This window comes from Homo sapiens, chromosome 6 (genome assembly GCF_000001405.40).
Source record: "Homo sapiens chromosome 6, GRCh38.p14 Primary Assembly".
Lineage (NCBI taxonomy): Eukaryota > Metazoa > Chordata > Mammalia > Primates > Hominidae > Homo > Homo sapiens.
Genome location: NC_000006.12, coordinates 157,733,560 through 157,756,416, shown reverse-complemented (window position 1 = coordinate 157,756,416; position 22,857 = coordinate 157,733,560). Strand labels below are relative to the sequence as shown.

Here is a 22,857-nt window from a genome sequence, read left to right as displayed (position 1 = left end):
GACAGAGTCTCACTCTGTTGCCCAGCTAGAGTGCAGAGTGCAGAGGAACAATCACAGCTCACTGCAACCTCCACCTCCTGGGTTCAAGCAATCCTCCTGCCTCAGCCCCCCAAGTACTTGGGTCTACAGGCACTTGCCACCACGCCCAGCCAATTTTTGTATTTTTTGTAGAGACAGGGTTTCACCATGTTGCCCAGGCTGGTCTTGAACTCCTGACCTCAAGTGATCTGCTTACCTCAGCCTCCCAAAGTGTAGGGATTACAGGCATGAGCCACCATGCCTAGCTAATTTAACCCTTTCAAGCAAACCACTGAGGATGGTATTAATGAAATAAAATAGAAATTGTGTTGGGAGACTGACATTTACTGTCATCAGATGTGATTACTGGCAAACATCTTGTTAGTCAGCTGATGTTATGTCTCACCTCAAAGGACACACTTGATGGGTGGGTGGGGGAAAGCCAGTAAGCCAGGAGTTTCAAAGGAACACTGTGTGGTCTGACCCACACTGTCTTTCCGTAGCATCTGAACTTTCTGTCCCTGCCTCTCCAGCAATGTCTGAGAAGATCAAAGTCTGAGGAGACAGATGTGACTCCTGGAGAGGCATCCAATGGGTAGTTCTCCACTTCTGCCTTGCAACCGTGATCCCAGAAATTCTGAAAGGGCACTTTTAGGATTAAAAGCATTTAGCTTCGTTTCTTCCTTTGTAGGAATGGAAAATCAAAATCACTCTGAAGTCGTGGTTTCTTTTAAGATGCAAAACAACTCCTTTCAAGCCATTGCTTTTAAATCTCTCACATTCAAGCTTAAATCAGTGAGTGACATTGTCACCGTATAATCCGACTGAGTTAAATCGAATAGTGGGAAAGTGGCCTTTTCTTTCTTTAATCTTTGACAAAATAAGGCAAATTCTAAAATTATGCCCAACAGTCTATCAGTAGTCTTTGTTGTTCCACATGTTCAAAGAGAAATGTCTATAAACTCTCAGCTGGTGTTTTTCTAACCCGGAGGCATTCTCTTCCCTACCAGGAAGGGAGGAGTGACTAACATATGATGCTGAGAGAGGCCACTAGGAAAGAGATGGCTGAGAGGGAGAATTTCTCCCGGTGTCAGAGGCATGCGAACCAGAGCAACTCCATCTTGAATACAGAGCTGGGTAAAATGAGGCGGAGACCTACTGGGCTGCATTCCCAGACTGTTAAGGCATTCTAAGTCACAAGATGAGATAAGAGGTCAGCACAAGATGCAGGTCATAAAGACCTTGCTGATAAAGCAGGTTGCAGTAAAGAAGCCGGCCCTATCTCACCAAGACCAAGATGGCCACGAGAGTGACCTCTGGTCGTCCTCACTGCTACACTCCCACCTGCACCATGACAGTTTACAAGTGCCATGGCAATGTCAGGAAGTTACCCTGCATGGTCTAAAAAGGGGAGACATGAGATTCACCCCTTGTTTAGCATATCATCAAGAAACAACCATAAAAATGGGCAACCAGCAGCCCTCGGGGCTGCTCTGTCTATGGAGTAGCCATTCTTTATTCCTTTACTTTCTTAATACACTTGCTTTCACTTTATTCTATGGACTCACCCTGAATTCTTTCTTGCACAAGATCCAAGAACCCTCTCTTGGGATCTGGATCAGGACCCCTTTCCTGTAACACCTGCACTGCTATTCCGACCATAGTCTTGGATGCTTTGAGGTTGTGATAGCTGCACAGGTGAGAGGGAGAGCCCTCACTCAGAAATTTTGCTCTCGAAACTCAGAGGCACAGAGCAGACTTAGGACGTGCTGATGTCCACGCTCACAACATGCATGTTGCTCAGTTCATACAATGTGTGACGCACGTCAGACAGACCCACCTTCAACAAAGCACTTTTATGTCTCAAAACAGGAAGCATCCAAAAAATGCAGCCACCCAACTGCTTCCTTCCAGTAGAATCCTCCTCTTGTCCAGGTTTCTATCCTATCTGTGCTTCCCATTTTCTGTCCTAGAAGTGAAACTGCCTTTGCAAAATTATGACTGAGACAGTGAGAGAGATCTAACTTAACCGACTGCATCTTGCTTCTCACCTCCAAGCTGTCTGTGTTCATTCCTGGGCGTAAGCTGAACTAACTTTGGGAGAAACTTAGTTTATAGTTTAAACAAAGACACTAATAGCTCTTTGCCAAAGCAGACCTCCTTCTTGCTTGGAGACTAGATTGCCTTTGTAGGACTAACATTAGCCACAAGATTAGAAATTATGATTTAGGAGTCGTGCAGCTGGAGGCTACAAGATTCTGACCCTCCCTAAACTGCTCCTAGAAATCAGTGCTTGAGATATATTTGCAGACCCTGCACTTGATGGATCAGCTGGCACCACCCCATCAATAAACTGGCTCACCTGATCTTGTGGCTCCCACCTAGGAACTGATTCAGCACAAGACAGCTTTGACTCCCCATGATTTCATCTCTGACCAACCAGTACTCCTGGCTTACTGGCTTTCCCCCACCCACCAAATTATCTTTAAAAACTCTGCTCCCCAATGATCAGGGAGACTGATTTGAGTAATAATAAAACTCCAGTCTCCCATACAGCCGGCTCTGCGTATATTACTCTTTCTCTATTGCAATTCCCGTGTCTTGATGAATTGGCTCTGTCTAGGCAGCGGGGCAAGGTGAACCCCTTGGGCGGTTACAGAAGCAGAATCTTGATGACCCCAGGCAATTATGGTGGTCCCAGTGACTGGCTTAGGAGGGAATATGTGACCTGTTCTGGCCAATTAGACACTGGGGGAAATCTGGAGGCTTGTGGAAAGATTTTTTTCTCTTCCTTTGAAAATAGAGGGAAAAAAAAGACACAGATCCTTGTTCTTCTCTGGACTTAACCATGGCTGTTTTTAATCTCGGGATTTGGCAACCACCTTGTGATGATGAAAGGAAACAGCCCGAGGCAAAATAAGTCTATTGAGTCTGGTAGACTGAAGAAATGTAAACAACTTGGATCCTTGAAGAAATGGAAGTACCTTTTTGAGTTACTGAATTAGCCCTGAAACTGCTCTACCTGTGAACTTCTTTTTATATGAGACTAAATCCCCTTGGTTAGACCATAATGAGTTCAATCTGAAAGCATGCTAAACAAGAATCCATAATTATCTATAATCTCTATTCACAGCTGCTGTACTCCCTCTTTTTTTTTTTTTTTTTTGCCACTAAAAAGAAAACTATGGCAAGAACACTTAACATAAGATCTATCCTGTGTGGAGAAAAGAAAGAGAGATCAGACTGTTACTTTGTCTATATAGAAAGAAGTAGACATAAGAGACTCCATTTTGTTCTGTACTAAGAAAAATTCTTCTGCCTTGAGATGCTGTTAATCTGTAACCCTACCCCCAACCCTGTGCTCGCAGAAACATGGGCTGTGTCGACTCAAGGTTTAATGGATTTAGGGCTATGCAGGATGTGCTTTGTTAAACAAATGCTTCAAGGCAGCATGCTTGTTAAAAGTCATCACCACTCCCTAATCTCAAGTACCCAGGGACACAAGACACTGCGGAAGGCCGCAGGGACCTCTGCCTAGGAAAGCCAGGTATTGTCCAAGGTTTCTCCCCATGTGATAGTCTGAAATATGGCCTCATGGGAAGGGAAAGACGTGACCGTCCCCCAGCCCGACACCCGTAAAGGGTCTGTGCTGAGGAGGATTAGTAGAAGAGGAAGGCTTCTTTGCAGTTGAGATAAGAGGAAGGCATCTATCTCATGTTCGTCCCTGGGCAATGGAATGTCTCGGTGTAAAACCCGATTGTATATTCCATCTACTGAGATAGGAGAAAAACATCTTAGGGCTGGAGGTGAGACATGCTGGCAGCAATACTGCTCTTTAATGCACCGAGATGTTTTTGTATGTGCACATCAAAGCCCAGCACTTTTTCTTAACCTTGTTTATGACACAGAGACATTTGTCCACATGTTTTCCTGCTGACCCTCTCCCCACTATTACCCTATTGTCCTGCCACATCCCCCTGTCTGAGATGGTAGAGATAATGATCAATAAATACTGAGGGAACTCAGAGACTGGTGCCTGCGCAGATCCTCCATATGCTGAGTGCCAGTCCCCTCGGCCCACTTTTCTTTCTCTATACTTTGTCTCTGTGTCTCTTTCTTTTCTCAGTCTCTCGTCCCACCCGACGAGAAACAACCACAGGTGTGGAGGGGCAGGCCACCCCTTCAATCCTGTTAATTTTTTTTTTTTTGAGACAAAGTCTCACTCTGTCACCCAGACTAGAGTGCAGTAACGCAATCTCGGCTCACTGCAACCTCCGCCTCCTGGGTTCCAGCGATTCTCCTGCCTTAACCTCCAGAGCAGCTGGGATTACAGGCATGTGACACCATGCCCAGCTTATTTTTGTGTTTTTAGTAGAGACGAGGTTTCACCGTGTTGGCCAGGCTGGTCTCGAACTCCTGACCTCAAGTGATCCACCCGCCTTGGCCTCCCAAAGTGCTGGGATCCCGGCTCTGTTAATTTTTTAAGTGCACAATACAGTGTTAACTACAGGCACTGTGTTGTACAGGAGACCTCTAGAACTTATTCATCTAGTATAACTGAAACTATATTCATTGAATAATAATTTCCCACTTCCCCTCCCTGCAGACTTTGGCAACCACCATTCTGCTCTTTGTTCCTATGAATTTAAATATTTTAGATACCTCCGTTAAGTAGAATCATGCAGCATTTGTCTTTCTGTGTCTGGCTTATTTCACTTGGCATCATGTTCCCAAGGCTCATCCATGTTGTCTCACATTGCAGGATTTCCTTCTTTTCTAAGGCAGAATAGTGTTCCATTTATGTACACACCACATTTTCTTTACCCATTGTTGTACATTTAGGTTGTTTCCACATCTTGGCTATTGTGAATGGTGCTGCAATGAACATGGGAATGACAATATTTGAGATTCGGATTTTAATTTTTTTGGATAAAGACTAAATTCCTAGATTATATAGTAGTTCTAGTTTTAATTTTTTGAGAACCTCCTGATATGGTTTGGCTCTGTGTCCCCACCCAAATCTCATCTTGAACTATACTCCTGTAATTCCCACGTGTTGTGGGAGGGACCCAGTGGGAGATAATTTGAATCATGGGGGTGGTTTTCCCCATACTGTTCTCATGGTAGTGAATAAGTCTCACGAGATCTGATGGGTTTATCAGGGGTTTCTACTTTAGCATCTTCCTCATTTTCTCTTGCCACCCCCATGTAAGAAGTGCCTTTCACCTCCCACCATGATTCTTAGCCTCCCCAGCCATGTGGAACTGTAAGTCCAATGAAACCTCTTTTTCTTCCCAGTCTTGGGTACGTCTTTATCAGCAGTGTGAAAATGGACTAATACACCTCCATACCATGTTCCATAGTGGCTGCACCATTTTGTATTCCTGCCAACAGCATACAAACCTTCCAATTTCTTCACATCCTCTCCAACACTTATTATATTTTTTAAAAAATAACAGTCATTCTAACAGGTGTGAAGTGCTAGCTCATTGTGGTTTTGATTTGCATTTCCCTGATGATTAGTGGCATTGAACATCTTTCCATATGCCCGTTGGCCATTTGCATGTCTTCCTTGGAGAAATGTCTATTCAAGTCCTTTGCCTATTTTTAAATTGCGTTATTAGGGTTTTTTTTTTTTCTGTTGAGTTGTAGAAGTCTCTTATATATTTTGGATATTAATCCTTTATCAGATATATGGTTTGCAAACATTTTCTCCCATTCAACAGGTTGTCTCTTCACTCTGTTGATTATTTCCTTTGCTGTGCAGAAGCTTTCTAGTTGGATGTATTCTCATTTGTCTGTGTTTGCGTTTGTTGCCATATCTATGAAATCATTGCCAAGACCATGCCACAAAACTTTTCCTCTATCTTTCTTCTAGGAGTTTTACAGTTTTGGGTTTTACATTGAAGTTTTTAATCTGTTTGCATTGATTTTTGTGTATGGTGTAAGATAAGGATACAATTTGCATGTGGATATCCAGTTTTACAAAACACCATTTGTTGTAGAGACTATCCTTTCTCCATTGTGGATTCTTGGCACCCTCATTGAATATCAGTTAACTGCATATGCATGGGTTTATTTCTGGTCTTTTGGTCAACATGTCTGTGTTTATGCCAATACCATAGTGTTTTAATTATCAGAACTTTGTAATACATTTTGAAATTAGGAAGTGCGATGTCTCCAGCTAACACAGCTGGAGTTCTTTTTCAAGATAGATTGGGGTATTCAGGGTCTTTTATATTTCCATATGAATTTAAAAATTTTTTTCTATTGTTGTAGAAAATGCATTGGAATTTTGATAGGGATTACATTAAATTTATAGATCATTGTGGGTAGTTATGGACATTTTGACAATGGTAACTCTTTCAATCCATGGACATGGGTTGTCTTTCCATTTATTTGTGCCTACTATAATTTCTTTCATCAATGTTTTGTAGTTTTCAGTGTACAAGTCTTCCACCTCCTTAGTTAAGTTTATTCCTAAGTATTTTATTCTTTTTGATGTTATAGTAAGTGGAATTTTTTTCCCCTAATTTCCTTTTTTGGCCATATCAGTTCTTCTACCCTTCATCTTAGCAGGAGTTAGTGGCTGGGTGTGGTGGCTTATGCCTGTAATCCCAGTACTTTGGGAAGCTGAGGCAGGCGGATCACCTGAGGTCAGGAGTTTGAGGCCAGCCTGGCCAACATGGTGAAACCCCATCTTTACTAAAAATACAAAAATTAGCCAGGCGTGGTGGCTGTAGTCCCAGCTACTCGGGAGGTGGAGGCAGGAGAATTGCTTGAACCCAGGTGGCAGAGGTTGCAGTAGCCAAGATCATGCCACTGCACTTCAGCCTGGGTGACAGAGCAAGACTCTGTTTCAAAAAAAAAAAAAAAAAAAGTTAGCACAATTGCCACTACTGACAGTAATACAGTAATCACTCCCATTACTTCAGCATATACTCTATGTGAGGTCAGTGCCAAGCCCTGGCATGTAATATCTTACTTAATTATCAAAATGATTCCATGAGGTAGGTTTCCTCATCCCATTTTATAGATGAGGAAACTGAGGCCCACAAAAGGTAAATAATTTTCCCAAGGTCTCAGACTAGTAAGTTTCAAACCTAAGAGCCAAACCAGACCCTGACTGCACCCCATCACCCATCTCCCCGAACTCTCTCCCTGTCTAACCATGGGAACAGCAGATATGCATGGGACAGAGACCTCTTCATCTGATGGTTTCACGGAATCAGTATGTGAGTTCCCTTGGGGTTGTGAAATCTAATTTAGAACCCAAAGGTAATTGACTATATAAAATTCACTGCTTGACATGAATTCTCTTGTGAGTTTTATTTAACCTCTTTGTACTTTAGATTCTGTGAGGTTGTGACAGAGATTTTCCACTACCTACTTCCTCAGGATGTAAGAAGGTAATTGAGATAATGTCTCTGAAAGCATTTTTCAATATTGAGAGGAAAGATACTATGGAGAGCCATGCTATTGTTACTGTGATTTTAATAACTCTTCCCAACTCTTAGGATGTTGATATTATAATGAAACATATTAATTTATTGAAAATATTCTGCACAGCTCCTTAAACTCTCAGGAGAAAAGACTGTTTGAGAATGAAAATGAGAAATCAGATAAATTATCAGCTATAGGTAAAACATTCTTTTTTTTTTTTTTTTTTTGATACAGATTCTCACTCTGTTGCCCAGGCTGGAGTGCAGTGGCATGATCTTGGCTCACTGCAACCTCCACCTCTCAGGTTCAAGTGATTCTCTTGCCTCAGCCTCTCAAGTAGCTGGGGCTACAGGCGCGTACCACCATGCCCTGCTAATTTTTGCATTTTTAGTAGAGATGGGGTTTCACTATGTTGGCCAGGCTGGTCTCAAACTGCTGACCTTGTGACCCACCCGCCTTGGCCTCCCAAAGTGCTGGATTACAAGCATGAGCCACCATGCTCAGCCTGAGTAAAATATTCTTTAGTGGTCAAAATGTTATATTGGACAGAAGATAAATTTGTTTTAAGTAAGGGGAAGTTCTCTTATTTTACATTGGCATTTGTAAAACAAGGTATAGACCCATTTTAAAGGAAATATTTATCATAGATATCCAATGTTGACCTAAATTCTTTTTTATTATATTACTTAAATATGATCAAAACTAAAACTAGATACAGAGTCCTCATACTGTTAGATCTAATACAGTGATAAAACCAAGAAAAATCTACAAATGCTATAAAAACAAAATGAAAAAACTAATAAAATTCAGATTAATAACATGAATTTAATATGATGGATGATGTTGTTTTGTATTTAACAGAATAAAGAACAAAATTCTTATTTGGTTCTATGTTTAAGAGTTTTGATTCAATTCTCAGACTGCTTGGGTTCAAATCTCAACTCTGTCTCTTACCAGCTTGACAATGGGCAAGTTATTTAACCTCTCTTAGACTCAGTTTCCTAATTGGAAAATAATAATAGAACTCATCTCAAAGAGCCCTAGTAAAGATTAACATTGGTAACATCTATTAATTACTCAGCACAGTGCTTAGTACATAATAGGGGCTCAATAAACATTTGGTATTATTAATAATATTGTTTTATTTAAAACGAATAAAAATAATTCATATTTTCCATAAATATACTTTATATGGGATTAGTAATTTCATTGCTTTGTTTTTTAGTTCATGATGATTAAACATTACATTTAACCAAATTCTGTTATGAGCAATTCTTGATAGCAAGTGTTGACGAGGTGTCACTTAGTAACAGCACCAGGCTGCCTTATCACTTGAAGATAAGCTTATGTTGAGTCAGTATTGCAATATGCCTCGAACGAGTAGTTAATACAATGATTGCCAGAATTAATAGAAGAATAACTTCACAACATACTTACTCCTGTACTTATGGCAAGCTGATATGAATGAAGATGGAACAGAAAACTTGACTGCTCACACGGTTTGATAATCACTGAATTCTACTCTGTGCTTCTGATATCTCAGTTCCTTAAGTGCTTTTTAAAAAATGTGAACTATTCCTGCAAGAGATGATTTGGTCAAGCATGGCTAAGAGAGTAGACTGTTTTCATTCAGTGAAAATATCTTGTGTGTTTGTGTGTGCATGTACACAGCCACATGCTTTTTCCAGGTCCCTCTGGCCCCTTCCGTTCTGTTCTGGTTTGTGTGGGGGCATTACTTTCTTGTAGGTGGGTTTTTATTCTTTGTCTTTGAGCAGGGGTCCTCAGTCTCGGGGCCACAGACCTGTACCAGTCCATGGCCTGTTAGGAACCAGGCTGCATAGCAGGAGGTGAGCGGCGGACAAGTGAGCATTACCGCCTGAGCTCTGCCTTCTGTCAGATCAGTTGCGCCATTAGATTCTCATGGGAGCTTGAATCCTATCGGGAACTGTGCATGTGAAGGATCTAGGTTGTGTGCTCCTTATGAGAATCTAATGCCTGATGATCTGAGGTGGAACAGTTTCATACCCTCTGACCCCACGACCCACCCTGTGGAAAAACAGCCTTCCACAAAACTGGTCCCTGGTGCCAAAAAGGCTGGGGACCACTGTCTTAGAGAATATACTTGCTCAGCCTTCATGCTTCAAATCACAGTCTTTCCTAACTTTTTTGTTGTTTTGAGACAAAGTCTTGCCTTGTCACCCAGCCTGTCTTTCCTGATTTTAATTGTAAGAGTCTGGCTCCTTCCAAAAAGCTCTGCAGAAATGTCTGCTGCTTGTTCTGTGCCCCCTGCAAAGGCTCCTTCCTCTCTTTCCGGCCAGGCTCCCCCTCCATCTCTGTCTTGCCCCAGGATAAGGATGGGAGGGTGTCTGGTTGCTCTCCATTTGGCTGGAAGAGTAACTTCCTGAAAACAGAGTACTCCATTGGGCAGAAATACGGCCCCTTGATACTTAATGTTTAAGGACAGAAAGAAGTCTTCTGCCTGGCGATGGAAGCGCAGGATCATTACCTGTTAGCCACTTTATGCCCAGCATCCTGTAGGCTACAGACTGCCCACCTTAACTGTTTCATACACTTACATTTTAATGTTTTTTTTTTTAAAGGGGAAACAAGTTGTGTCATAAATATATGCAAGCTCAATCTTTGAATACCTCAACTTTTAGGAAAAATGCTCTTCACATGTTGCAAGACTTCACAAAAGAATTATGCAGAAATGGATAACTAATTGTAAATTTTAAGTAACTTCCAGTTCCTTTTGTATTCCCATTGGTCCACTGGACTAGTCCTAACAACAACAAAAAAGTCACTTCCAGGACATTTGATTCCTGGAGTTCTATCTGCAGGATGCCATTGATCAATTCCAACATTCTAAATGTTTTTTACTGATTCCTGTTTTGGATGCTATATTTGTCTTTTTGTGTTAATATGTATATGAGAACCAAAATTCCAGGGATAGCAGATTTTAATGAAGAATAACAGCATTTGTGTAATGTGTTTACACAACAGGATTGAAAATTTTTCTCTAAATTTATTTCTTTCCATGCTTTCACATACATAACTGGAGAAGAGAAGAAGGACAATTTTGGATCCAGGTAGTACTTTCAGGAGCTCTTGGGGTGGAGCAGTTCTCAGTTTGAGAAGCCAGGATGGGCATCTGACCACGGACACACTGTGCCTGCATTTTTCACCTGCTTTTCCCTTTTATAAGTAAATCTTTCATATTCTCGTCCTTGGGCTCATTAAAAGAAGAAAAACATGAAGTCTTTCAGTGGTTTGCTCTTTCTTGGCTCAGGAAAGTGAAATTTAAGGTGAAAAATCACCCTGGGCAGAATGGAAATGCCAAACTTTCCAAGTCAACTTTTCCTGGGTTAAAATCAAACAGGGCCACGAAGGATCAAGTCTTCTTTTCTTGGCTCCGCAAATTACAGAGGGGTCAACAACAATGTCATTTAATACACGGAAAAGGGTTCCATGCCTGCAGGGGAGTTTATTAGGTTTGGATTTGAGAGAAGAGAATAAAGCAAAACACAAAAACCCAGGCCTGGACTTTCAGTGTAGCCATGAGTGACTTCTTTCCCTGCTGGTGTCACAGCCTTTATCAACACGTGGCTATTACGATGACGATCACTGCCACTAACTGGGCACCTCTTGAATACCAGGTTCTTGACATGTAGAATTTCTACATCTCACAATAACGTAGCAAAAAAAAAAAAAGGTGATTTTATTGCTCTTTTGTAGATGAGTGTGACAGAGGCTCAGGGAGATTTGTAGCTTACCCAAATCACACAGCCAGTAAATAGTAAAATTGGGCCTTGAATTTAGCTCTGCTTGACTCCAAAACATACTCTTTTCCTATCTACCCTTCTTCCTTTGCTTATTGTAGAGGTCTCCATCCTCCTTAAAGTTAGAAAGAAAGGGCCAGGCGTGGTGGCTCACCCTTGTAATCCCAGCACTTTGCGAGGCCGAGGTGGGTGGATCACAAGGTCAAGAGATCGAGACCATCCTGGCCAACATGGTGAAACCCTGTCTGTACTGAAAATACAAAAACTAGCCGGGTGTGGTGGCACACACCTGTAGTCCCAGCTACTCGGGAGGCTGAGGCAGGAGAATTGATTGAATCTGGCAGGCGGAGGTTGCAGTGAGCAGAGATCATGCCACTGCATTCCAGCCTGCCAATAGAGCAAGACTCCGTCTCAAAAAAAAAAAAAAAAAAAATGAAGAAAGAAAGAAAGAAAGACTAAGTCCAGAGGGAACCGGGAAAATGCTGTCATCATCCCTGTTGGTTCCAGTGAGGGCTGAAGTGCTGGGGGGGCTGTCGCAAGCCTTTTCAATTCCAAGGGTGGGGAGATGCATCTTCCATGGTGTGAGAGGGCTGGGTGAGGAGTCAGGGTGTCAGAAAGAGTGGTTCCAGGGGGAAGTTGATTGCATTTGAGTAAATACTGGGAGCAGGAGAAAATGAATGTGCTTTCTGCTCATGGCTGTCTCCACTCATCTGCATATGATCACTGGAATTAAATTATCTTACACATTTTATTATACATTCCATGAGTCATGTCTTAAAATTATATTGAAGATTATACCTGGAGATTGCATGATGTACTTAAGAGGCAAGAAGAGCCTCTTAAACTATGGCTCATTTGCGGTGAGGTCATGGGGCCTGATGGTGCATTCACAGAGGCATTGGCTGAAAGTCAGAAGATGGGTGGTCTCGTCCCTGCTCTACAACTCAGCTACTCAGCCACTAAACTGCTTAGGGCCGGCCGGGAGCATTATGATCATATAAAAAGAATAGCTGCTGTCTTCAATATCAAGCATTTACCATATTATAGGCATTAGATTAGTTGTTTTATATACAATGCATCATTTAATTTTCATGACCACTTTTCCAACTTACTCTTAAAAGGACAAGATTTATGTATAATTTTTTCTTTTTTTTTTTTTTAAGACAGAGTCTCTCTCTATCACCCAGGCTGGAGTACAGTGGTGCTGTCTCAGCTCACTGCAACCTCTGCATCCTGGGTTCAAACGATTCTCCTGCCTCAGCCTCCCGAGTAGCTGGGACTATAGGTATACGTCACCAAGCCTGGCTATTTTTTTTTTATTTTCAGTAGAGACGGGGTTTCACCATGTTGGCCAGGCTGGTCTTGAATTCCTAACCTCAAGTGATCCACCAGCCTCAGCCTCCCAAAGTGCTGGGATTATAGGTGTGAGCCACCATGCCTGGCCTTATTTATGATTAAAATAGGTAATGCTGAGAAACACTTTGGAATGGCAGTGCAAGGACCTCTGAAAATCCTGTCTCCATAAAAGCAACAAGAACACTGTAAAAAATGGTCAAAACGAACTTTTTCAAAACTCTGGAAATTAACCAAAGGTTTGCAATAATACCAGGAGCATTTATTGAAGTAAAATGATTAAATCTTGGTAAAGACAATGAGCCTTGTGGAGTTTTCTGTTTATCTGTTGTTGTTTTGATTACACACTGGGTCTTTGATGTCTCCATTCTCAAGCCTAGCCCCGTTTTTGTTTTTGTTTTTTTTTTTTTGCATAGGCCTCAGGCTTCTGAAATCAACTCCAATGGGCTTCTTACTTGTAAAATGATATTATCTCACAACATCTTTGTTGGCAGGGATGTCTGGCCCATTAGATGGTACTGTCACCATGCCTCGGACTTGTCCACAGGCTCACAGAAATGACTGACTGAGATTTAAAACAGAGAACTAAACCCGAAAATACAAATAAAGCTTCAAAGTTAACATTAATGAGGATTTAACTAAATATCTGAAAAACATAACATCATAGTTCCACTCATTCAGTCACTAAATTTAGGGCTTTTGGAACTTTCATTACATTAGCAAGTTATCTGTGGATTAAATTTTTTTCCACTTTGAAAAAATTCCTGAGTATCTAGATGCTCTCCAAGCAATGACTGTTAATCTTAAATTAAATGAGTTACTGAGACCAACAAAAACATTTCAAAGTATTATTATAAAAGTCTACTTAAGGTGGGACATGGATATGTTTTTGTCTTTGACGTGATGTAAGGGCCCCAGAAGTCAGAGTTGTAGGACTCAGGGAGAGCTTACAGTGGCCTTGGCTGTGAGGAACAAATTACATTACATATGTGTAATGTAATGTGTATGTTACATATGTGTAATGTAATGTGTACATTACGTATGTAATAATCACATTACAAATGTGATTATTGCATTGTAGAAAAATCCATTAACTACTCTGAAGAATCTACAGGAGAAATGCCATCGGCCCAAAAGACCATCAGCCAGGAGCCCCTGAACCGCTGCACCTGTGGTTCCTAAATCCACTCGATCATCCAAGTTGCTGGGAAGAGTGTCAGAGTGGTGCCTGGGAATTGGTGTCTTAATCAGCACTCCAAGTGATTCTGACAACAGGCCAGGTTTGGGAACCACTGGACTTGACCCAAAGGTCTTCCCATCCCATCTCATCTCATTTCATTTCATTTTGCTCTTGGTTTGTCCTTTTGGACAAGAACAGCTGATCACTCTCAACTTGACCGCGAGTCTTCATGACCCTGACTGCTGCCAAATCTTTCTTAGCCAAGCAGGAGAAGCCCAGTGGCGTTCAGAACACAGAGTCAAACACAGCTGCTTCTGCCTTTCCTTTCCCAAACCTCTCCCAACCCGTAATAGCTTCCTTCCCAAACACTCTTCCCCTGTCCTCTCCTCAGTCCATCACCCTTACATGCCCTCACTCTCAGATGCTGGCTGGGGGATTTCTTCTCTTCCCTGCTCTTTTGTTCCAAGTCACACTGTCTGCAAAATGTTTTCTATTCTAGTTTTGCAATAACAGGCAGCAGCAGAGATTTCCGAGTTAGCAGTGCTATTACTGCTGGAGGCCAAGAGGCTGGAGAGAGGAAATAAATAGTGTTATATCCTCCTGAGGCCACCAGCAGAGCCAGTTGTTGTGGTGAGGGGAGGAAGGGAGGGAAGTGAGAGATTCACCTTTGCTTTTCTGGGCACTTTCCTTGGGCCAGGAAATCTGTTGAATTGACAGAATGATGGGGCCAGGTGGGACCTGAGTCTTCATTAATCCAGATTGGAGTTTGCAAGGAAGCTCTCCGCCGGAAATGCGATGCTTTAGTAATTTTAGCAAGAGTCTTATTTTGGCTGCAGAGGTTGAGGAGGCTGCATTTCTTCCTTGGGGGAAGCCTTCCCGCCGTGAGGTTCGTGTACTTGGTGAATTTGTGCAAGGAGAATGCTGATGGAATTCAGCTTTTACCAGTGAGCCATTGGGTCCCTCAAGCACTGCAGACTTAATCATTTTTAACGGAACAAGGCTAATTATAGATAGATAATTAAAATTAAAATGAATTTTCTTGTTGCATGAGATATCCGCCATGCTCAGGTTTTGCCTGATAACAGCAGCAGCAGCAGTTTACTGCAGTGTGGCTCAGTGTGCAGCCAGTGATCATTTACATCAGAATCACCTGGGGGCCATTGTTAAAAATGCAGATTCCTGGACCCAGATGCAGGCAAGCAGAATGTCTGGGGTGGGAGGCCCAGGCATCCGCATGTTTAACTAGATTCACATGTGATTCTCTGTTTTTTTTTTTTTGTTGTTGTTGTTGTTTTTTGAGACAGAGTCTCGCTGTGTTACCCAGACTGGAGTGCAGTGGCACAATCTCGGCTCATTGCAGCTCCACCTCCTGGGTTCCAGTGATTCTTGTGTTTCAGCCTCCTGAGTAGCTGGGATTACAGGTGCGTGCCACCACACCTGACTAATTTTTATATTTTTTAGTAGAGACGGGATTTTGCCACGTTGGCCAGGCTGGTCTCGAACTCCTGGCCTCAAGCAATCCCCCTGTCTCAGCCTCCCAAAGTGCCAGGATTACAGGCATGAGCCACGGCACCCGGCCAAGACTCTCAGGTGATTCTTAGAACACCAACGTTTAAGAATCATTGAGTGAGAACCTATTTTGTGCTGGAGATTTCATCCGACTAGGAAAAAAATCTTCATAGCAATTTATGAAGTAGATGTCATTCCCTCCATTTTGAAACTGAAGCCTACAGAAATTGAATGACATTACTAAGGTCACATAGCTAGTCAATGGCAAAGCTAGGATTCCAGGCCCATCTAATTGGAAGGCCTGCATTCTTCCCATGTTACTTCCACAGATGCCTCCTGTCTGCCAGGTCACTGGGGCAGCCCTGAGCCGGTGCGGGAGAGGCTCCTGGCAAAGGCCCTAACTGTGGGAAACCAATGGCAGTTGTGAGCTCTTTTCTCCAACAATTGTGGATTCATTCTCCTGTTGACTGTGGAGGGCTCACAGCTCCCCAGAGTCCATGCTCCTGACTCTGCAGAGCTCTCCAGCCAATGCTGGACACCTATCTTTTTGGAAACTGATGATCAGAAGCAAAGTGTGGCAGATGCTGTTGGGGACCCAGTCATTTGCCCCCTCTGCATTGGGGTGCTGTGTGCTTCAGGGAGGGGCTGGGACCTCACTATCCCCAAGTGTGTCAATCCTGATTTGCTCAATTATCCTGGGATTCTAGTCCGCTTGCCAATGAGGCAGCAGTGGGTAACTGAGCCACTTCCTGTCAATGAGATGTGAAAGTCTATTGGGAAGTTTCTGGAGGCATTCCTTCCTTGTCAAGAGCGGTCCAAGTTGTTCTACTGCAAGACCTGGGCTGACATATCACACAGCTCTAGGGGAAACCAGTATATTAGATTCTATGGGCACAGAGCCCCTTGGAGTTGGGCAATGTGGCCTTGCACAAAAGGGGTTTGACCTGCACATACTGAAATGTGTACCACTTGGAATTTCCAATCTCACATTTACTTGTGAACATTGGTTAAATAAAGATTTATTATTATTATTATTATTATACTTTAAGTTCTGGGATACATGTACAGAATGTGCAGGTTTGTTACATAGGTATACAAGTGCCGTGGTGGTTTGCTGCACCCATCAACCTGTCACTTACATTAGGTATTTCTCCTAATGCTATCCCTCCCCTAGGCTCCCACCGCCCGACAGGGCCCTGGTGTGTGATGTTCCCCTCCCTGTGTCCATGTGTTCTCATTGTTCAACTCCCACTTATGACTGAGAACATGTGGTGTTTGGTTTTCTGTTCTTGTGTTAGTTTGCTGAAAATGATGGTTTTCAGCTTCATCCATGTCCCTGCAAAGGACATGAACTCATCCTTTTTTATGGCTGCATGGTATTCCATGGTGTATATGTGCCACATTTTCTTTATGCAGTCTATCATTGATGGGCATTTGGGTTGGTTCCAAGTCTTTGCTATTGTGAATAGTGCTTCAATAAACATACATGTGCATGTGTATTTATAGTAGAATGATTTATAATCCTTTGGGTATACACCCAGTAATGGGATCACTGGGTCAAATGGTATTTCCAGTTCTAGATCCTTGAGGAATTGCCACACTGTCTTCCACAACAGTTGAACTAATTTACACTCCCACCAACAGTGTAAAAGCGTTCCTATTTCTCCATATCCTCTCCAGCATCTGTTGTTTCCTGACTTTTTAATGACTGCCATTCTAACTGGCATAAGATGGTATCTCATTATGGTTTTGATTTGCATTTTTCTAATGACCAGTGATGATGAGCTTTTTTTCATATGTTTGTTGGTCGCATAAATGTATTCTTTTGAGAAGTGTCTGTTCATATCATTTGCCCACTTTTTGATGGGGTTTTTTGTTTTTTTCTTGTAAATTTGTTTAAATTCCTTGTAGATTCTGGATATTAGCCCTTTGTTAGATGCATACATTGCAAAAATGTTCTCCCATTCTGTAGGTTGCCTGTTCACTTTGATGATAGTTTCTTTTGCTGTGTAGAAGCTCTTTAGTTTAGTTAGATCCCATTTGTCAATTTTGACTTTTGTTGCCACTGCTTTTGGTGTTTTAGTCATGAAGTCCTTGCCCATGCCTGTACTGAATGGTATTACCTAGGTTTTCTTCTAGCGTTTTTATGGTTTTAGGTCTTATGTTTAAGTCTTTAATCCATCTTGAATTAATTTTTGTGTAAGGTGTAAGGAAGGGGTCCAGTTTCAGTTTTCTGCATATGGCTAGCCAGTTTTCCCAACACCATTTATTAAATAGGGAATCCTTTCCCCATTGCTTGTTTTTGCCAGGTTTGTCAAAGATCAGATGGTTGTAGATGTGTGGCATTATTTCTGAGGCGTCTGTTCTGTTCCATTGGTCTATATATCTGTTTTGGCACAAGTACCATGCTGTTTTGTTTACTGTAGCCTTGTAGTATAGTTTGAAGTCAGGTAGCATGATGCCTCCAGCTTTGTTCTTTTTTCTTAGGGTTATCTTTACCATATGGGCTAATTGCCCCAGTTAAAAGACACAGACTGGCAAATGGGATAAAGAGTCAAGACGCATCACTGTGCTGTATTCAGGAGACCCATCTGATGTGCAAAGACACACATAGGCTCAAAATAAAGGGATGGAGTAATATTTACCAAGCAAATGGAAAGAAAAAAAAAAGCAGGGGTTGCAATCCTAGTCTCTGATAAAACAGACTTTAAACCAACAAAGATAAAAAAAGACAAAGAAGGGCATTACATAGGTAAAGGGATCAATGCAACAAGAAGAGCTAACTATCCTAAATATATATGCACCCAATACAGGAGCACCCAGGTTCATAAAGCAAGTTCTTAGAGACCTACAAAGAGACTTAGACTTCCACACAATAATAGTAGGAGACTTTAACACCCCACTGTCAATATTAGACAGATCAACGAGACAGAAAGTTAAGAAGGATATTCAGGACTTGAACTCAGCTCTGGACCAAGTGGACCTAATAGACATCTACAGAACTCTCCACCCCAAATCATCAGAATATACATTTCTTCTCAGCACTACATCACACTTATTCTAAAATTGACCACATAATTGGAAGTAAAACACTCCTCAGCAAACCATAACAAACAGTCTCTCAGACCACAGTGCAATCAAATTAAAACTCAGGATTAAGAAACTCACTCAAAACCACACAACTACATGGAAACTGAACAACCTGCTGCTGAATGACTACTGGGTAAATAATGAAATTAAGGCAGAAATAAATAAGTTATTTGAAACCAACGAGAACAAAGACACAACGTATGAGAATCTCTGGGACACAGCTAAAGCAGTGTTTAGAGGGAAATTTATAGCAGTAAATGCCCACAGGAGAAAGCGGGAAAGATCTAAAATCAACACCCTAACGTCACAATTAAAAGAACTAGAGAAGCAAGAGCAAACAAATTCAAAAGCTAGCAGAAGACAAGAAATAACTAAGATGAGAGCAGAACTGAAGGAGATAGAGACACGAAAAACTCTTCAAAAAATCAATGAACTCAGGAGCCGGTTTTTTGAAAAGATTAACAAAATAGATAGAACACCAGCCAGATTAATAAAGAAGAAAAGAGAGAAGAATCAAATAGACGCAAAAAAAATGATAAAGGGGATATCACCACTGATCCCACAGAAATATAAACTACCATCAGAGAATACTATAAACACCTCTACACAAATAAACTAGAAAGTCTAGAAGAAATGGATAAATTCCTGGACACATATACTCTCCCAAGACTAAACCAGGAAGAAGTCGAATCCCTGAACAGACCAATAACAAGTTCTGAAATTGAGGCAGTAATTAATAGCCTACCAACCAAAAAAAAAAATGAGGACCAGACGGATTCACAGCCGAATTATACCAGAGGTACAAAGAGGGGTTGGTACCACTCCTTCTGAAACTATTCCAATCAATAGAAAAAGAGGGACTCCTCCCTAACTCATTTTATGAGGCCAGCGTCATCCTGATATCAAAACCTGGCAGAGACACAACAAAAAAAGAGAATTTCAGGCCAATATCCCTGATTAACATCGATGTGAAAATCCCCAATAAAATACTGGCAAACCAAACCCAGCAGCACATCAAAAAGCTTATCCACCATCACCAAGTTAGCTTCATCCCTGGGATGCAAGGCTGGTTCAACATATGCAAATCAATAAACGCAATCCATCACATAAACAGAACCAATGACAAAAACTACATGATTATCTCAATAGATGCAGAAAAGGCCTTCAATAAAATTCAACACCCCTTCATGCTAAAAACTCTCAATAAACTAGGTATTGATGGAATGTGTCTCAAAATAATAAGAGCTATTTATGACAAACCCACCCAATCATACTGAATGCGCAAAAACTGGAAGCATTCCCTCTGAAAACCAGCACAGGACAACGATGCCCTCTCTCACCACTCCTATTTAACATAGTATTGGAAGTTCTGGCCAGGGCAATCAGGCAAGAGAAAGAAATAAAGGGTACTCATATAGGAAGACAGGAAGTCAAATTGTCTCTGTTTGCAGATGACATGATTGTATATTTAGAAAACCCCATCGTCTCAACCCCAAATCTCCTTAAGCTGATAAGCAACTTCAGCAAAGTCTCAGGATACAAAATCAATGTGCAAAAATCACAAGCATTCCTATACACCAATAACAGACAAACAGAGAGCCAAATCATGAGTGAACTCCCATTCACAATTGCTACAAAGAGAATAAAATACTTCGGAATACCACTTAAAGGGATGTGAAGGACCTCTTCAAGGAGAACTACACACCACTGCTCAAGGAAATAAGAGAGGACACAAACAAATGGAAAAACATTCCATGCTCATGGATAGGAAGAATCAATATCGTGAAAATGGCCATACTGACCAAAGTAATTTATAGTTTCAATGCTATCCCCATCATGCTACCATTGACTTTCTTCACAGAATTAGAAAAAACTACTTTAAATTTCATATAGAACTAAATAAAGATTTTTAAAGAAAGAACTGTCTAGGCACAGTAGGCATTCCAGTTGTGTTCCTACCTACTTAACAAAATCCAAATACAAGTGTCTCTGGAAATTAGAGTTTATGCTGAAGCTCTCAGAAGATAAACATCTTCAGTGAATCATTGAGAGGCTCAGGTGGGATTTTTTTTTTTTTTTTTTTTGAGACATAGTCTCACTTTGCCCAGGTTAGAGTGCAGTGGCGTTATCTTAGCTCACTGCAACCTCCCCCTCCCAGGTTCAAGCGATTCTTGCCTCAGCCTTCCAAATAGCTGGAATTATAGGTGTGTGCCACCATACCCGGCCAATTTTGTATTTTTAGTAGAGACATGGTTTCACTGTTTGCTCAGGCTGGTCTTGAACTCCTGAGTGCAAGTGATCTGCCCTCCTCGGCCTCCCAAAGTGCTGGGATTACAGGTGTGAACCACTGCGCCAGGCCCTCAGGTGGGATTTTGGTGGCCTTGATGGAGCAGTCACAGGCTGAGGGGACCTGAAGGCAGTGGCCCTGGGCTGACAGTAGCCCCTTTGTGGGAGCTGAGCTCAGCTTCTGCCTCAGACTTGCGAAGGTCTGGGCTTTTATTTTATTCTTATTTTTTAGTAGAGATGGGGTTTCACCATATTGGCCATGCTGGCCTCGAACTCCTGACCTCAAGTGATCCACCCATTTCAGCCTCCCAAAGTGCTGGGATTACAGGCATGAGCCACCACGCCCGGCCAGGTCTGGGCTTTTAATTGTCAACTTCCACAGGATGTTCATTCTGAAGAGCCAGCTTCCTGCCTGGTCCAGCCCTGTTAGTTTGTCAGGATGCAGACAACCCTGGAATCAATCTCTGTCCCTCCTGGTTCCACTTGAATGAGGTCCTTTTTTTTTTGAGACAGAGTCTTGCTCTGTCACCCACCTTCTGGGTTCCAGTACTTCCACCTTCCAGGTTCCAGTGATTCTCATGCCTCAGCCTTCCCAGTACCTGGGATTAGAGGTGTGCACCACCATGCCTGGCTCATTTTTTGTATTTTTAGTAGAGACGGTGTTTCGCCATATTTCCCAAGCTGGTCTCGAACTCCTGAGCTCAGGTGATCCACCCACCTGGGCCTCCCAAAGTGCTAGGATTACAGGCGTGAGCCACCCGGCCCAGCCAGGAGGCCCTTCTTGACCTTGTGACAGAAGGACAACCCTCAGCTTCAGGCAGCCCTCAGCCAAACTGTTGGTAGCATCTTAGCCTGAATCCAGTTGGGAAATTCTTCTTAAAGGTGCTGGCTGTTTTCTTTGAACATAATACTGTAAGGGAGAAAATATAATTTCTTTTCTTTCCCTCATGGGTTCTTAGTTGAAACACCCCCCTTGAAAACAAAAGCCAGATTAAAAAGGGAAAAACCAGCGAAGTCTACTGACATGCGCTGTACCCATAACGCTGGAGAGGCCTTTGTTCAAGAGTATTTCTCTCTCAAGGCAGTGGCCTTCGGACCTTGCTCAAATAGTATTTTAACAAAGAGCCATAAATCCTATAATGATAAGACAAAGAAGACAGCATCTTCAGGCTTCCAAAAAGCAGGAAAATGCAGGAGGATAAATTTATGGAAAGAGTAAAGTCTGCTCCTAGGTCCTTGGGTGCTGCTGCCTCCCAGCTGAGAAGCTAATGTTGTGAAGGCCCTTGTCTTTAGGTGGAAAAGGCAGGGAGGAGGACAAGAAGACCTTTGTCTTTGTAAATTGCCATCCTGCCATCCAATCCCCAGGATTTTAGAGAGGGATATTTTGGTTCCCTTCTCTAGAATAGAGCAAACAATTTAAAATAGCTTTGGAAAATATGCCTTTCCTCAACAATTAGTGCAATCATATACACTCAATGCAGAGAATGAAGAAATCATGAAAGCACACACACACACACACACACACACACACACACACACATAAATCCTAAACTGAGTGTAACCCTGACACTTGGAGGTGACCCCTGACATTGATTTATGTATTTGTTTTCCGTCTTCATTTATGTATTTCCATCATTCATTTATGTATTTATTTTTCATCTCCCTAGTTCAATATTCTTATCCTAAAATATTATTATATTATCTTAAAATAATACTATCTTTTACATTACGATGATCATCACCATTTCTATTGTTATTCATCACCATTTTTACTTTTGTTCTTTCCAAGGGTGACGATTGTCATGTCTTTATACAACACTGAAGAGAGTTTCTCCCCTCACAAAGGCTGTCCCATCTCAGGATGATAACCGGAGGGTTGTCACAAAGGCTGTCCCATCTCAGGATGATAACCGGAGGGTTGTCCTTAAGTCATAAATGCACACCACTGGTCTTGGGCTATGTCTGTACCACCTGGGGTCCCTTCAGAGGTGAACCTTCTGAAATACTGTAAGTCCCCTTTGGAGGCAGGGACCATCTCAAGCTTGCTGAGGAGATCTGGGGAGGGCATCCCTCTCTTTCTGAGCCTATGGAAAGATTTAGAAGCGTCCCTCACCATGGTCCTAGCTGCCGTGTAGAGGCCTGTAAGCTGAAGCTGGGGCCTCCTAGGACAAGCCTGTCCAACACGAAATTTTCTAAGTC

General features: G+C 42.0%; 3 annotated features.

Moving 5' to 3' along the window:
• Positions 806–1,100: a silencer, noted in NCBI's record as "tiled region #7014; HepG2 Repressive non-DNase unmatched - State 20:ReprD". NCBI's record gives its function as "represses a minimal TATA promoter and a strong SV40 promoter by Sharpr-MPRA in HepG2 cells {active_cell/tissue: HepG2}" and the evidence as "EXISTENCE:reporter gene assay evidence [ECO:0000049][PMID:27701403]".
• Positions 3,326–3,620: a silencer, noted in NCBI's record as "tiled region #4686; K562 Repressive DNase matched - State 5:Enh". NCBI's record gives its function as "represses a minimal TATA promoter and a strong SV40 promoter by Sharpr-MPRA in K562 cells {active_cell/tissue: K562}" and the evidence as "EXISTENCE:reporter gene assay evidence [ECO:0000049][PMID:27701403]".
• Positions 14,652–15,192: an enhancer, noted in NCBI's record as "H3K27ac-H3K4me1 hESC enhancer chr6:158162257-158162797 (GRCh37/hg19 assembly coordinates)". NCBI's record gives its function as "activates a minimal SCP1, AML or CMV promoter by ChIP-STARR-seq in primed H9 embryonic stem cells {active_cell/tissue: H9 hESC(primed)}" and the evidence as "EXISTENCE:reporter gene assay evidence [ECO:0000049][PMID:30033119]".